Source organism: Homo sapiens, chromosome 19, assembly GCF_000001405.40.
Source record: "Homo sapiens chromosome 19, GRCh38.p14 Primary Assembly".
Lineage (NCBI taxonomy): Eukaryota > Metazoa > Chordata > Mammalia > Primates > Hominidae > Homo > Homo sapiens.
Window position 1 is genome coordinate 8357989 of NC_000019.10, and position 16387 is coordinate 8374375.

Here is a 16387-nt window from a genome sequence, read left to right on the forward strand (position 1 = left end):
GGATTACAGGCGTGAGCCATCGCGCCCGGCCTTTTTTTTTTTTGAGATGGAGTCTTGCTCTGTCACCCAGGCTGGAGTTCAATGGCGCAGTCTTAGCTCACTGCCACCTCTGCCTTCCAGGTTCAAGCGATTCTCCTCCCTCAGCCTCCCGAGGAGCTGAGTTTACAGGCCTGAGCCACCGTGCCAGACCTCTTTTTTTTTTTTTTTTTTTTTTGGGACAGAGTCTCACTCTGATGCCCAAATGGGAGTGCAATGGTACGATCATAGCAGACTGCAGCTTCCACCTCCTGAGCTTAAGTTGTCCTCTTGCATCGGCCTCCTTGAGTACGTGTGGGAGTACGGGTAGGCACCACCACACCTGGCTAATTTTTTATTTTATTTATTTTTTTATTTTTATATTTATTTATTTATTTTGAGATGGAGTTTCGCTCTTGTCACCCAGGCTGGAATACAATGGCACAATCTTGGCTCACTGCAACCTCTGCCTCCCGGGTTCAAGTGATTCTCCTGCCTCAGCCCCCCAAGTAGCTGGGATTACAGATGCCACCATGCCCGGCTGATTTTTTTTTGTATTTTCAGTAGAAATGGGGTTTCACCATGTCAGCCAGGCTGGTCTTGAACTCCTGACCTCAGGTGATCCGCCTGCCTCGGCCTCCCAAAGTGCTAGGATTACAGGCGTGAGCCGCCACGCCCAGCCCTAATCTTTTATTTTTTGGAGGGATGGGGTCTCACTTTGTTACCCAGGCTGGTCTGAAATCCCTGATTTCAAGCAATCCTGCCACTTCAGTCTCCCAAAGTGTCAGGATTACAGGTGTGAGACACCCTGCCCAGCCTGTTTGTGTATGTTATATATATGTATCTCTCTGTATGTAAGTGTGGCTCTCTCCATATATGTATATATATATCTTTATGTGTATTGCATATGTATGTGTCTCTGTGTGTATTATATATATTTATATTTTATGTCTCTATGTGTGTTTATTTATTTTTTGGATACAGGGTCTTGATCTGTCCCCTAGGCTAGAGTGCAGGGGTGCAATCTTGGCTCACTGTAGCTTTGAGCCTCGACTTCCCAGGTTCAAATGATCCTCCCACCTCAGCCTCCCAAGTAGCTCATACTACAGGAATGTGCCACCACGCCTAGCTATTTTTTTTTTTTTTGAGACAGAGTCTTGCTCTGTCACCCAAGCTGGAGTGCAATGGTACGATCTCCGCTTACTGCAGCCTCCACCTCCTGGGTTCAAGCGAATCTCCCACCTCAGCCTCACAAATAGCTGAGATTACGGCCACACACCACCATGCCTGCTAATTTCTGTATTTTTAGTAGAGATGGGGTTTCACCATGCTGGCCAGGCTGGTCTCGAACTCCCAGACTCAAGTGATCCACCCACCTCAGCCTCCCAAAGTGCTAGGATTACAGGTGTGAGCCACCATGCCGGGCCCCAGCTAATTTTTTTTTTTTTTTGAGACAGAGTCTCGCCCTGTTGCCCAGGCTGGAGTGCAGTGGCGCAATCTCTGCTTACTGCACCCTCTGCCTCCCGGGTTCCAGCGATTCTCCTGCCCCAGCCTCCCGAGTAACTGGGATTACAGGCGCGCGCCTCCACGCCTGGCTAATTTTTACATTTTTAGTAGAGACCGGGTTTCACCATGTTGGTCAGGCTGGTCTCGAACTTCTGACCTCACGATCTGCCCACCTTGGACTCCCAAAGTGCTGGTATTACAGGCATGAGCCACCGTGCCCAGCCTGGCCCCAGCTAATTTTTTAAATTTTTTGTACAGACAGGGTCTTGCCATGTTACCCAATCTTGAACTCCTGGGCTCAAGCAGTCCTCCCACCTTGGCCTCCCAAAGTACTGGGATTACAAGCATGAGCCACCTTGCCTAGCTTAATGGCATTTACATTTGTAGTGAAATACACATAACAGGCTGGGCGCAGTGGCTCATACCTGTAATCCCAGCACTTTGGGAGGCCGAGGTAGGCGGATCACCTGAGGTCAGGAGTTAGAGACCAGCCTGGACATGGCGAAACCCCGTCTCTACTAAAATACAAAAATTAGCCAGGCGTGGTGGTGGGCACCTGTAATCCCAGCTACTCGGGAGGCTGAGGCAGGAGAATCATTTGAACCCAGGAGGTGGAAGTTGCAGTGAGCAGAGATTGCACCACTGCACTCCAGCCTTGGCGACAGAGCAAGACTCTGTCTCAAAAAAAAGAAAAAAAAAAGAAAAGAAAAGAAAAAAAAGAAAAAGAAAAAAAGAAATATACATAATATAAAATTGGTCATTTTAACAATTTTTAACTATGTTGGCCAAAGTAGCCCACGCGTTGGGATTGGAGACCCGGTCTTGCCCACCGTGATCGCCCCAGTACAGTGCCTGGCATATAGTAGGTGCTCCAGGAACAATTGATCAGGATGACTTTGTCTTTGCTGGGTAAGAGGCCACATTCTAAAGGTCAGTTTTTGGCCAGGCACAGTGACTCACACCTGTCATCCCAGCACTTTGGGAGGCCGAGGCGAGTGAATCCCTTGAGCTCAGGAGTTCAAGACCAGCCTGGGCAACACGGCAAAAATCCTGTCTCTACAAAATCTACAGAAATTAGGCAGGTCTGGTGGCACATGCCTATAGTCCCAGCTGCTTGGGAGGCTGAGGTGGGAGGATCACTTGAGCCTGGGAGTTTGAGGTTGCGGTGAGCTGTGATTGTGACACTGCACTCCAGCCTGGGTGAGTGAGACCCATCTCAGAAAAAAAAAAAAAAATACATAAAACAGGGCTGGGCGTGGTGGCTCATGCCTGTAATCCTAGCACTTTGGGAGGCTGAGGTGGTGGATAGCCTAAGCTTAGGAGTTTGAGACCAGCCTGGGCAACATGGCGAAACCCCACCCCCTCTACTAGAATACAAAAAATTAGCGGGCGTGGTGGTGGGCACCTGTAGTCCCAGCTACTCAGGAGGCTGAGGCAGGAGAATGGCGGGAACCTGGGAGGTGGAGCTTGCAGTGAGCCGAGATGAGGCCACTGCACTCCAGCCTGGGCAACAGAGCAAGACTCTGTCTCAAAAAAAAAAAAAAAAAAAAGGCTAGGCCAGGCACAGTGGCTCACACCTGTAATCCCAGCACGTTGGGAGGCCGAGACAGGTGGATCACCTGAGGTCAGGAATTTGAGACCAGCAGAGCCAACATAGTGAAACCCCGTTTGCACTAAAAATACAAAAAATTAGTCAGGTGTGGTGGTGCACACCTGTAATCCCCGCTACTCGGGAGGCTGAGGCTGGAGAATCGCTTGAACCTGGGAGGCAGAGGTTGCAGTGAGCGGAGATTGCGCCGTTGCACTCCAGCCTGGGCGACAAGAGGGAAACTCCATCTCAAAAAAATAAATAAATAAAATAAAAAATAGGCTGGGCGCGGTGGCTCATGCCTGTAATCCCAGCACTTTGGGAGGCCGAAGCGGGCGGATCACGAGGTCAGGAGATCGAGACCATCCTGGCTAACATGGTGAAACCCTGTCTCTATTAAAAATACAAAAAATTAGCTGGGCATGGTGGCAGGTGCCTGTAGTCCCAGCTACTCGGGAGGCTGAGGCAGGAGAATGGCACTAACCCGGGAGGTGGAGCTTGCAGTGAGCCGAGATTGCGCCACTGCACTCCAGCGTGGGCGACAGAGCGAGACTCCTTCTCAAAAAATAAATAAATAAATAAATAAATAAATAAATAAATAAAAAATAAAGAGCAGTTTTTAGAATAAAATCTAGAGCCAACTTGAGGCGACAGTATAGACTCTTTTGTAGATTGCTCACAGCAGGTGCCCTTAAGACCCTGGGTCTGTGATGTGTTTTGTGCTGTGGGACACATGGCTCCAAAGAAGTCCCTGAAAATCAGATCATGAAAAGGTCATCAGGTTGGGGAAGTAATTGATCAGTTCTCTCAGTTTAAGAAGGTGGGGAAGAGGAGGAGCTTGCATTCTGGGATAGCCTGGGATAGCTGTGTCCCTACTCAGAGAGAGGCTGGGGGCTTGGGGGTGGACAGGCCAGACGGTGACCATCTGAACCTACTCCTCACTGGGGTTTTCCTCCCTCCCTTTCCTGTCCACTGCTGCTGGGAGGGATTTGCTGTCCTGGCATCTGGCCCAGCTGACGGGGCCAAGTGTATGAGTGGCAGCCTGCACGTCAGCCCTTGGGTGTGCAGTTTCAGATTCCAGAGAATGAGCTGGCTTGGAGCCCTGCTGAGTCAATGCCCTTCTCCTTGCCAGTGCTCTGAGCCAACCTGCCCCGAGTTCTTCCTGGCAGGCTGGTTTTCTGTGCCAGCCTCCCCTTCCTGACAGGGTATAGGGGAATGGGTAGGGAAGAGGCAGAGGAGATCGGTGCAAGTTTGAATGAACACTTAGCCCTGTGGAATGAATGTGGTCCAGCCCTTTAGCCTCACTCAGTACTTCCTTTGTCCCAACTCTATCCCTACCCCAGGCTCAGAATGTTGGGGTATCTCCACCTGCCTGAGAACTTCAAACATACAGGGGCTGGGCTTAGAGGGCAGCAGCACCTTCGTTCAGTGCATGAGTGAATGAATGAATGAGGGAGAGAAAGAGGAAGGTCTTCCATGTCTGAAACTTTTTTTTTTTTTTTTGACACACAGTCTCACTCTGTCACCCAGGCTGGAGTGCTGTGGTGCAATCTCAGCTCACTGCAACCTCCGTCTCCTGAGTTCAAGCGATTCTCCTGACACAGTCTCCCGAGTAGCTGTAAGCACGTGCCACCACACCCGGCTAATTTTTTATTTTTAGTAGAGACGAGGTTTCACCATGTTGGCCAGGCTGATCTCGAACCCCTGACCTCAGGTGATCCGCCCCCCCCCCCCTCCCACCACCCGGCCTCCCAAAGTGCTGGGATTACAGGCGTGAGCCACCGCGCCTGGCCACAGACTTTTATTTTATTTCTTTTTTAGAGACAGGATCTCACTCTGTTGCCCAGGCTGGAGTGCAGTGGCACCATTGTGGCTCACTGCAGCCTCTACCTCCTGGGCTCAAGTGAGCCTCCCACCTCAGGCTCCCAAGTAGCTGCGACCACAGTCATGGGCGACCGCCCTGGTTCCTCCCTTCCTTGTGTCTCCTCTTTCTGTTCTCTAAGTTCCTGCTTTATTATAGGCAAAGCTCAGGACATTAAAGACCCTGGCGGTAGAGGGTAGGCTATGGGGGTGAGGCCCTGATCCAAGTCCTGCCGCTAAGGCACTCATAATTTCGGGCTCAGGGGAGAAATGGAAGTCAAAGAATCTCATAAACACAGCTGCGATGACGAACCCTTTCACGGGAAGGAACATGCGAGCCCAGAAAAGTCTCTCCTGGTCTTGGGATGGAGGTCACACGAAGCCTCCGCAAGGCAAGGACTTTTGGTGAGTTCCGGGCTCCGCTGAACTCAGCTCTTTTTCTTTTCCTTCCTTTCTTTCCTTCTTCCTTTCTTTCCCTCCTTCCTTCCTTCCTCTTTCTCTCTTTCCTTTCTCTCTCTCTTTTCTCTCTCTCTCTCCTTCTTCCCTCCCTCCCTACCTCTCTCTCTTTTCTTTTTCCGTCCTTCCTTCCTTCTTTCCTTCTTTCTCTCTCTTTTCTTTCTTTTCTTTTCTTTTCTCTTCTTTCATTTTGAGACGTACTCTGGCTCTGTCGCCCAGGCTGGAGCGCAATGGCGCCATCTCGGCGCACTGCAACCTCCACCTCCCGGGTTCAAGCGATTCTACTGCCTCAGCCTCCCGAGTAGCTGGGACTACAGGCGCGCACTACCAAGCCCGGCTAATTTTTTTTTGTATTTTTAGTAGAGACTGGGTTTCACGATGTTGGCCGGGCTGGTCTGGAAGTCTTGACCTCAAGCGTGCGCCCTCTCCGCCACTGGGTAAGGCGGGGGCGGAATAGGGGGCTTGCAATTTCACACTAGAGGCGGGCACCGTGGGGGAAAGAAGAGTCACGTCTCCCACGGTTCGTAGAGGAAGGCCTGCCTGAGCCTGGAGCGGGGGCGGGAGAGCCACAGTTTGGCATCCCCAGGGCATCCCCCAGCCCGCAGACTACCAGGCCTCCAGAGGACAGGACCCCACCCCCGGCCACAGGCCCTGCCCCCAGCACTCCCCGCACCCCGCCTCCAAGACTCCTCCGCCCACTCCGCACCCAACTTATAAAAACCGTCCTCGGGCGCGGCGGGGAGAAGCCGAGCTGAGCGGATCCTCACACGACTGTGATCCGATTCTTTCCAGCGGCTTCTGCAACCAAGCGGGTCTTACCCCCGGTCCTCCGCGTCTCCAGTCCTCGCACCTGGAACCCCAACGTCCCCGAGAGTCCCCGAATCCCCGCTCCCAGGCTACCTAAGAGGATGAGCGGTGCTCCGACGGCCGGGGCAGCCCTGATGCTCTGCGCCGCCACCGCCGTGCTACTGAGCGCTCAGGGCGGACCCGTGCAGTCCAAGTCGCCGCGCTTTGCGTCCTGGGACGAGATGAATGTCCTGGCGCACGGACTCCTGCAGCTCGGCCAGGGGCTGCGCGAACACGCGGAGCGCACCCGCAGTCAGCTGAGCGCGCTGGAGCGGCGCCTGAGCGCGTGCGGGTCCGCCTGTCAGGGAACCGAGGGGTCCACCGACCTCCCGTTAGCCCCTGAGAGCCGGGTGGACCCTGAGGTCCTTCACAGCCTGCAGGTACGTGTCCCCAGGGCTGGTTCTCCGCGCCCCTAGTGGCTCTCCTGGCTTGGAAGGGTATGGACAGGAGTGGGGCGTGGGGGCGGGGTGCGCAACTGTGGCTCCCTGGGCTTCCCTGCGTCAAGGGATGGGCTCCCCCCTTAGGAAGCCGAGGAGGGAGGTTCGCTCAAGGCCAGGAATTCAAGACCACCTAAAGCAAAATAGCGAGACCCCCGTCTCTTCTACACACACACACACACACACACAAAATAAATAAAATAAAATAAAATAAATATAAAATTAAAAAACGACCGGGCGCAGTGGCTCACGGAGCCTCCACCTGCTGTCGAGACTAGCCTGGCCAACATGGAGAAACCTCGTCTCTACTAAAAATACAAAAAATTAGCCTGGCATGGTGTGCATGCCTGTAATCCCAGCTACTTGGGAGGCTGAGGCAGGAGAATCTCTTGAACCCGGGAGGCAGAGGTTGCAGTGAGCCGAGATCGCAGCACTGCACTCCAGCCTGGGCAACAGAGTGAGACTCCTCAAAAAAATAATAGCGATAAAATAAAAATAAAGCCAGGTGCGGTGACTCACGCTTGTAGTCCCAGCACTTTGGGAGGGCGAGGCCAGTGGATCACCTGAGGTCAGGAGTTCAAGACCAGCCTGACCAACACAGTGAAACCCCGTCTCTACTAAAAATACAAAAATTAGCTGGGTGTGGTGGTGGGCGCCTGTAATCCCAGCTACTGGGGAGGCTGAGGCAGGAGAACCTCTTGAACCCGGGAGGCGGAGGTTGCAGTGAGCCGGGATCATGCCATTGCACTCCAGCCTGGGCGACAGAGCTCGACTCCATCTCAAAATAATAATAATAATAAATAAAATAAAATACAAATACAAAAATTAGCCAGGTGTGGTGGCAGCTACTTGGGAGGCTGAGACACAAGAATCACTTGAGTCTGGGAGGCAGAGGTTGCAGTGAGCCAAGATTGCGCCACTGCACTCCAACCTGGGTGACAGAGCGAGACTCTGTCTGAAAAAATAAAAAATAAGCCAGGCATAGAGCTGCATGACTGTAGTCCCAGCTACACAGGAGGCTGAAAACAGGAGGATCGCCTGACCCCAGGAGTTGGAGGCTGCAGTGAGCTGTGACAGCACCACTGCACTCCAGCCTGGGCGAGAGAACGAGACCCCGTCATTGGGAAAAAAAAGAAAAAAGAAAGACTCCCTTGCCTGGCCTCAGCGGATGGAGATTTGGAAGGATGGATGAGTGGATGAATTAAGAGGTTGGGGTAGGCAAGCTGGGTCCTCACCAAGGTTTTCACCCCTCCCCAGACACAACTCAAGGCTCAGAACAGCAGGATCCAGCAACTCTTCCACAAGGTGGCCCAGCAGCAGCGGCACCTGGAGAAGCAGCACCTGCGAATTCAGCATCTGCAAAGCCAGGTAACCCTAGGATCAAGGGAGAAAAGGTCCCTCTGATAGCTGGACCCCAGGTTGAGAGGGAGGTGGTGAGAACTGGACGTGTGGCTGGGGACGTGGGGCCAGGCAGGACCTGACACCCTCCTCCCGTCCCATCCTAGTTTGGCCTCCTGGACCACAAGCACCTAGACCATGAGGTGGCCAAGCCTGCCCGAAGAAAGAGGCTGCCCGAGATGGCCCAGCCAGTTGACCCGGCTCACAATGTCAGCCGCCTGCACCGTGAGTGTCTGCCCCTCGATGCTCTCCGGTGGCCACCCCTACCCCGCCACTTGCCATTGCTGGTCCTCTCCTTGTCAGGTCCACCTTAAGGAGAAGATGTCCTGGCCTGGAGTCCCTGAGGGCTCACCAGTCTCTGGGTCAAAGCTGATGGGAGCACCTCCTTCCTCAGCCCTGACCTGGCCCAGCCAGGCCACCCAACCCTTCTCCTCTGCAAGCCAGTGGGCTGTCCCTGAAGCCCTGCTGATCACTGATTGGAACAGAGGTGGAGAAAGAGGTCTTGAGGGACTTGAGCTGCAGGGGTGCTGGAGAAGGTAGAAATGGGGTTCGGGGTGCCATCCTGAAGGTTAGAACCTTCTAGGGGAGGGTGTCATGGAGGAGGGGGTGCCAGGTAGTAGTGTTTGTAGATTTGGGCCCTCCACAATGTCTTGGGGTATGTGGGAATTAGGGCTGGGAACCCCCAGCTCCCAGACCAGAAACACTCTTGTATCTTACAAATCCAATGCTCCAGGTCCCTGACCCCTCTTCCTCCTTCCTCTCTTGTTCTCCTCCTCCCTCCCCGCCCCCGCCGGCCCCCTCCCCACCGCAGAAAGTGGGCTTTTGCTGCCACCACAAGTTGTAGGTGCTTTATTCCCAAATCTCCGTTCATCTCGAACCACAGCATGTCCACGTGTGTCCGATGCAGACTCGCGGTTCTCTAAGTTCACGGCCCCACACGGTTTCTCTGTGGTCCTCATCCTTCCCTGCATCTGTGGCTGTCCACAGCCAACTGGGTGAAAGTTTGGATCCCCCTCTCACACCCTAGGGTCAGTGGCAGGCTTCCAGCACTGTAGACCTGAGGGTTCTCTCCTCCCCAAGCTCCCGCTCCTTCCCACCTCCGTGCTGCCCGCCCCCAACCCCGCCAGGCTAGCATCTCAGCGTGGTCAGGGTCCTGTCCACCCTCCCAAAGCCACCATCCCAGGATGAGGGGCTTCTGGAGGGTGACGGGGGAAGGCACAAGTCCTGGCTGGGAAATGCGGTGGAAGGGGGCAGGGGTTCTGTGGGTTCGGGACTCCCAGACTCTTGGCTCAGGCCCGCCAAGTAGGAGAAAGTTCAGAGCTGGGAAGGCGAACAGCTGGCATTCATGGAAGCCACACTGGTGGTTTGGCCGCGTGCCCATCCTTACTGGATGGGAGGAAAGTAGGGGAAAGGGGAGATGCCTGAGGGGCCGGAAAGCGTCTTCCTGGTCACTCTGGGCCCGCCCCCACCCCCACCGTGCAGACTCATTTCGACCTTTCCCCTACTTTTCCGGCTGGGCTGGGGGCGGTTCCTCCCAGTCTGGAGCGTCTGAGCCTCCAGACGTGCTCAACGCCATCCTCCCCTCCTCCCTCCCTCTTTCTTTCCTCAACCCTGCCTCCTCTCCCTCTAGGAGCTGGGACCCCAGGCAGAGCCTCTGAGATGCTCCTGCTCAGCACAGTTCTTCCCGTTCTGGACCTGCTGCCTCATTCATTCATTCATTCATTCATTTGTCAAGACTGTTTTGTTTGCTTTTTGAGACGGAGTCTCGCTCTGTTGTCCAGGCTGGAGTGCAGTGGCGCAATCTCAGCTCACTGCAACCTCTGCCTCCCACTGGGTTCAAGTGATTCTCCTGCCTCAGCCTCTCAAGTAGATGGGATTATAGGCGCCTACCGCCACCACGCCCAGCTAATTTTTATTCATTTATCAAGTCTTTTTTTTTTTTGAGACAGAGTCTCACTCTGTCACCCAGGTTGGAGTGCAATGGTTCAACCTCAGCTGACTGCAACCTCTGCCTCCCGGGTTCAAGTGATTCTCCTGCCTCTGCCTCCTAAGGAGCTGGGATTACTGGCGTCCACCATCACACCCAGCTAATCTTTGTATGTTTTACTAGAGATGGGGTTTGGCCATGTTGACCAGGCTGGTCTCAAACTCCTGACCGATCCGCCCGCCTCCCAAAGTGCTGGATTACAGGCATGAACCACTGCGCCCGGCCCATTCCTCAAGTCTTTATTGAGCAGCTGCTATGCGCTGGGGCCTGCGTGGATGCTGGTGCCAGGCTGTGGGCAGAGCTGCTCCTTGTCCCCAGCCTCATGGAGCCTCCATTGAGTCAGAGGAGAGACCATTAGATGACCTCAGTGTCCAGGAGTGGGAAGTCCTTGCTCAATTCCCATTTGGGGTGTTCTGGCCTGGTCTGGGGGTGAGGCAAGGCAGGGTGTCCTTCCAGAAGCTGGGACCCAGAGAGAGAAGTGAGGAAAGAGAGTCCCGCCGGGCGCAGTGGTTCACACCTGTAATCCCAGCACTTTGGGAGGCCAAGGCTGGCGGATCACGAGGTCAGGAGATCGAGACCAGTCTGGCCAACATGGTGAAACCCCCGTCTCTACAAATAATGCAAAAACTAGTCGGGCGTGGTGGCACATGCCTGTAGTCCCAGCTGCTCCGGAGGCTGCGGCAGAATTGCTTGAACCTGGGAGGCGGAGGTTGCAGTGAGCCAAGATTGCGCCACTGCACTCCAGCCTGGCGACAGAGCGAGACTCCGTATCAAAAAACAAAACAAAAAAAGAGAGTCCCAGGCAGGGGGAACAGCATGTGCAAAGTCCCTGTGGCAGGACGGTGTGTGGTACAAGGGTGGGAAGAAAGCCTGTGTGCCAGAGAGGGTGTGGGTACAGCATGGCAGGAGGAGGATGGGCACGGGGGCTGGTCCTCCAGGTGCCTTGTGGACCATGCTGAGGAAGGACATAGGGAGCCATGGAAGAGGTTAGGCAGATGGCAGAGAGGTGGTCATGAGATAAGATTTGCCTTTTACTTCCCTGGTCATCCACTGTTAAGCCCCCAGATATGCCTGGCTCCTGAGACCCCCCCCAGGGGCTGCCCTCCTGTTTCAAGTCTCCACTTTATCTCCCTTCAGGGCTGCCCAGGGATTGCCAGGAGCTGTTCCAGGTTGGGGAGAGGCAGAGTGGACTATTTGAAATCCAGCCTCAGGGGTCTCCGCCATTTTTGGTGAACTGCAAGATGACCTCAGGTAGGGTGTGTTAGTCCACCAGGGGCCCCTCTCCCCATAGGCCCTGTTGTCTTTCTTTAAATTGAAAACAAAACAAAACAAAAAAATTAAAGGCAGGGTCTTGCTATGTTGCCCAAGCTGGTCTTTTTTTTTTTTTTTTTTTTTGAGATGGAGTTTTGCTCTTGGAGCTGGAGTGCAATGCCACGATCTCAGCTCACTGAAACCTCCGCCTCCCGGGTTCAAGCAATTCTCCAGCGTCAGCCTCCCCAGTAGCTGAGACTACAGGTGCGAGCAACCACACCCAGCTAATTTTTGTATTTTTAGTAGAGACTGGGTTTCACCATGTTGGTCTGGCTGGTCTCAAACTCCTGACCTCAAATGATTTGCCGACTTTGGCCTCCCAAAATGCTGGGATTATAGGCATTAGCCACTGCTCCTGGCCTCTTTTCTTTAAAATGCAGCCCTTGTCTGGGTGTAGTGGCTCATATCTGTAATCCCGACACTTTGGGAGGCCTATCATGAGGATCACTTGAGCCCAGAAGTTCGAGACCAGCCTGGACAACATAGTGAGAGCTCATCTTTACAAAAAATTTTGTAAAAGTAAAAAAAAAGGCCAAGTGCAGTGGCTCACACCTGTAATCCCAGCACTTTGGGAGGTTGAGGCAGACAGATCACGAGGTCAGGAGTTCGAGACCAGCCTGACCAACATGGTGAAACCCCGTCTCTACTAAAAATACAAAAATTAGCCGGGCATGGTGGTGTGCACCTGTAATCCCAGCTACTCAGGTGGCTGAGGCAGGAGAATCTCTTGAACCTGGGAGGCAGAGGTTGCAGTGAGCTGAGATGACGCCACCGCACTCCAGCCTGGGCGACAGAGCGAGACTCCGTCCCCCCATCAAAAAAATAAAAAAGAGAAAATAAAATAAAATAAAATAAAATTCAGCCCTTGCTGGGCATGGTGGCACATGCCTGTAGTCCCAGCTACTCGGGAGGCCAAGGCAGGAGGGTCACTTCAGCCCAGGAGTTAAAGGCTGCCGTGAGCCGTGATCACACCTGTGAATAGCCACCGCACTCCAACCTGGGCAACACAACAAAACCTCGTTTCTAAAAAAAAACAAAGGCTGAGCACGGTGGCTTACACCTGAAATGCCAGCACTTTGGGAGGCTGAGGCGGGCAAATCACTTGAGGTCAGAAGTTCAAGACCAGCCTGGCCAACATGGTGAAACCCTATCTCTACCAACATAAACATTAGCCGGGCGTGCCTGTGATTCCAGCTGCTTGTGGGGCTGAAGCACAAGAATCGCTTGAGCCCCGAAGGCAGAGGTTGCAGTGAGCTGAGATTGCGGCACTGCGATCCAGCCTGGGCAACAGAGTGAGACTCCATCTCTAAAAAAAAAAAAAAAAAAAAAGAAAGCTTTTTTTTCCACTGAGAAGTCCTTTCCATTACAAGAGGTTACAACACGGGGTTTTACCCAGTTCAGCTGGCCCAGAGAGGCTTTGCAGATTTCCACTGCCTACTCCCTCCCACACTCAGTCCCTGCTGGGTTCTTGGGACAAAGATCTTCCCAAGGCCAGCCCATAATATTCCTCCCTCTGACCCACCCTCCTCGAGTCCTCCAGGGATGAGTGAGGGAGCTGCTGTCTTCCTGGGTTTGGAGGGGGTTTGGTGCTTGGCAGCCAGATGAGGGAGTGGGGTCGTCTGTGAAGAGGGACTTCCTGGTGACCTTGTACCTTTCTGGGCAGATGGAGGCTGGACAGTAATTCAGAGGCGCCACGATGGCTCAGTGGACTTCAACCGGCCCTGGGAAGCCTACAAGGCGGGGTTTGGGGATCCCCACGGTAGGTGTTTCTAGTGGGGACAGAGGCAGGGGAGGAAGAGGGACCCTCAGAAGTGGCCCTGCCTCATGGAGTGGCCTCTCCCACTCCAGGCGAGTTCTGGCTGGGTCTGGAGAAGGTGCATAGCATCACGGGGGACCGCAACAGCCGCCTGGCCGTGCAGCTGCGGGACTGGGATGGCAACGCCGAGTTGCTGCAGTTCTCCGTGCACCTGGGTGGCGAGGACACGGCCTATAGCCTGCAGCTCACTGCACCCGTGGCCGGCCAGCTGGGCGCCACCACCGTCCCACCCAGCGGCCTCTCCGTACCCTTCTCCACTTGGGACCAGGATCACGACCTCCGCAGGGACAAGAACTGCGCCAAGAGCCTCTCTGGTGAGCAGGCCCTGCCATGCCACACCCAGCCAGCAGCTTCCCTCCTTATCTTTCTGCTGCTCTGTCCTGCCTTCAACCCCACATTGCATCTGTTTCCTGCCCCCACCTCTTCCTTACATGCCGTGTGTGTGATTGGGCCACTAACTTAGCCTATCTGGCCTCAGTTTTCCCATCCTGAAAAGGGTCTTGACCGTCTTTACTTTTATTTACTTATGTGTTTGTTTATTTATTTATTTATGTATTTATTTTTTGAGACGGAGTCTCACTTTGTCACCCAGGCTGGAGTGCTTTGTGGCACGATCTTGGCTCACTGCAAGCTCCACCTCCTGAGTTCACACCATTCTCCTGCCTCAGCCTCCCGAGTAGCTGGGACTATAGGTGCCCACCACCACGCCTGGCTAATTTTTTTGTATTTTTAGTAGAGATGGGGTTTCACCGTGTTAGCCAGGATGGTCTCGATCTCCTGACCTCGTGATCTGCCTGCCTCAGCCTCCCAAAGTGCTGGGATTACAGGCGTGAGCCACCGCGCCCGGCCTACTTATTTATTTTTTGAGACAGAGTCCCGCTGTGTCTCCCAGGCTGGAGTGCAAGTGACGTGATCTTGGCTCACTGCAGCCTCCGCCTCCTGGGTTCAAGTGATTCTCCTGCCTCAGCCTCCTGAGTAGCTGGGATTACAGGTTCCCGCCACCATGCACAGATAATTGTTTTGTATTTTTAGTAGAGACGGGGTTTCACCATGTTGGCCAGGGTGGTCTTGAACTCCTGACCTCAAGTGATCTGCCCACCTCGGCCTCCCAAAGTGTTGGGATTACAGGCGTGAGCCACAATACCCGGCCACAAACATCTTTATAATGGTGCTCCACAGGATTCTTTTTTTTTTTTTTTTTTTGAAACAGGGTCTCACTCTGTTGCCTAAGCTGGAGTGCAGTGGTGCGATCTCGGCTCACTGCAACCTCCACCTCCCGGGTTCAAGCAATTCTCAAAAAAAAAAAAAAATTAGGCACGGTGGCTCACACTTGCAATCCCAGCACTTTGGGAGGCTGAAGCGAGTGGATCACTTGAGCCCAGGAGACCAATCTGAGCAACAGGGCGAAATCCTGTCTCAATTAAAAATACAAAAAACTAGCTGGGCATGGTGGTGCCTGCCTGTGTTCCCATCTACTTGGGAGGCTGAGTTGGGAGGATCTCTTGAGCCTAGGAGATAAGGCTGCAGTGAGCTGAGACTGCGCCACTGCACTCAAGCCTGGGTGACAGAGTGAGACCCCTGCCTCAAAAGAAAAAGAAAAAATGCAGGCATGGTGGCTCACACCTGTGGTCCCAGCTACTTGGGAGGCCCAGGTACAAGAATCACTTGAGCCCGTAAGGTTGACGCTGCATTGAGCCATCACCACACCACTGCACTCCAGCCTGGGCAATGGAGCCAGGCCCTGTCTCAAAAAAAATTGTTTTTAAACTTAAAAATAAGGCCGGGTGTGGGGGCTCACACCTGTAATCCCAGCACTTTGGGAGGCCGAGGTGGGTGGATCACCTGAGGTCAGGAGTTCAAAACTAGCCTGGCCAACATGGTGAAACCCTGTCTCTACTAAAAATACAAAAATTAGGCCAGGCGCAGTGGGTCATACCTGTAATCCCAGCACTTTGGGAGGCTGAGGAGGGTGGATCACATGAGGTAAGGAGTTTGAGACCAACCTGGCCAACATGGTGAAACCCCCTCACTACTAAAAATACAAAAACTAGCCAGGCGTGGTGGCGGGTGCCTGTAATCCCGGCTACTCAGGAGGCTGAGGCATGAGAATCCCTTGAACCTGGGAGGCAGAGGTGCAGTGAGCCGAGATTGTGCCACTGCACTCCAGCCTGGGAGATAGAGTGAGACTCAGTCTCAAAAAAAAAGACCAAAAATTAGCCAGGTGTGGTGGCAGGCGCCTGTAATCCCAGCTACTCGGGAGGCTGAGGGAGGAGAATCACTTAAACCTGAGAGACGGAGGTTGCAGTGAGCTGAGATCGCACCACTGCACTCCAGCCTGGGTGACAGAGTAAGACTCAATCTCAAAAAAAAAAAAGTCAAGTCCAAAGCCCAGCCTGGTCCCCAACCTGCCTCATCCTCAACCCTATCCCTATCTCCTTTCAGCCCCATCGGTGGCTCAAAGACCTGACCATGTTCCCTCTCCCCTGACCCCGGCAGGAGGCTGGTGGTTTGGCACCTGCAGCCATTCCAACCTCAACGGCCAGTACTTCCGCTCCATCCCACAGCAGCGGCAGAAGCTTAAGAAGGGAATCTTCTGGAAGACCTGGCGGGGCCGCTACTACCCGCTGCAGGCCACCACCATGTTGATCCAGCCCATGGCAGCAGAGGCAGCCTCCTAGCGTCCTGGCTGGGCCTGGTCCCAGGCCCACGAAAGACGGTGACTCTTGGCTCTGCCCGAGGATGTGGCCGTTCCCTGCCTGGGCAGGGGCTCCAAGGAGGGGCCATCTGGAAACTTGTGGACAGAGAAGAAGACCACGACTGGAGAAGCCCCCTTTCTGAGTGCAGGGGGGCTGCATGCGTTGCCTCCTGAGATCGAGGCTGCAGGATATGCTCAGACTCTAGAGGCGTGGACCAAGGGGCATGGAGCTTCACTCCTTGCTGGCCAGGGAGTTGGGGACTCAGAGGGACCACTTGGGGCCAGCCAGACTGGCCTCAATGGCGGACTCAGTCACATTGACTGACGGGGACCAGGGCTTGTGTGGGTCGAGAGCGCCCTCATGGTGCTGGTGCTGTTGTGTGTAGGTCCCCTGGGGACACAAGCAGGCGCCAATGGTATCTGGGCGGAGCTCACAGAGTTCTTGGAATAAAAGCAACCTCAGAACACTTTG

General features: G+C 54.0%; 1 protein-coding gene across 5 annotated transcripts, besides 1 other annotated feature; it reads left to right on the forward strand.

Moving 5' to 3' along the window:
* Window positions 5784-5833: an enhancer, noted in NCBI's record as "active region_13914". NCBI's record gives its function as "activates an Ori minimal core promoter by ATAC-STARR-seq in GM12878 lymphoblastoid cells {active_cell/tissue: GM12878}" and the evidence as "EXISTENCE:reporter gene assay evidence [ECO:0000049][PMID:35858748]".
* ANGPTL4 (angiopoietin like 4) lies at window positions 6167-16382 on the forward strand. 5 transcript variants are annotated; one of them, XM_005272484.4, is made up of 7 exons: window positions 6167-6651; window positions 7966-8076; window positions 8214-8331; window positions 11231-11344; window positions 13068-13163; window positions 13253-13534; window positions 15663-16382. In XM_005272484.4, exons 1-7 carry the CDS (start codon window positions 6334-6336, stop codon window positions 15896-15898), a joined length of 1275 nt encoding a protein of 424 aa, XP_005272541.1. In that variant the 5' UTR covers window positions 6167-6333; the 3' UTR covers window positions 15899-16382. The 5 variants fall into 5 exon arrangements, 4 of the variants coding, with proteins under 4 accessions (XP_005272541.1, NP_647475.1, XP_005272542.1 ...); NM_139314.3 differs by having other exon boundaries at window positions 15717-16382; XM_005272485.4 differs by lacking the exon at window positions 11231-11344.

What these genes read in the sequence shown, in the direction of transcription:
- ANGPTL4 (XM_005272484.4), top strand. Translation starts at nt 6,334, where the DNA reads ATGAGCGGTGCTCCGACGGCCGGGGCAGCCCTGATGCTCTGCGCCGCC. An exon ending in AGGTCCTTCACAGCCTGCAG is followed by an intron (nt 6,652 to 7,965) that starts GTACGTGTCCCC and finishes ACCCCTCCCCAG; the next exon opens with ACACAACTCAAGGCTCAGAA. An exon ending in GGGGTTTGGGGATCCCCACG is followed by an intron (nt 13,164 to 13,252) that starts GTAGGTGTTTCT and finishes CTCCCACTCCAG; the next exon opens with GCGAGTTCTGGCTGGGTCTG.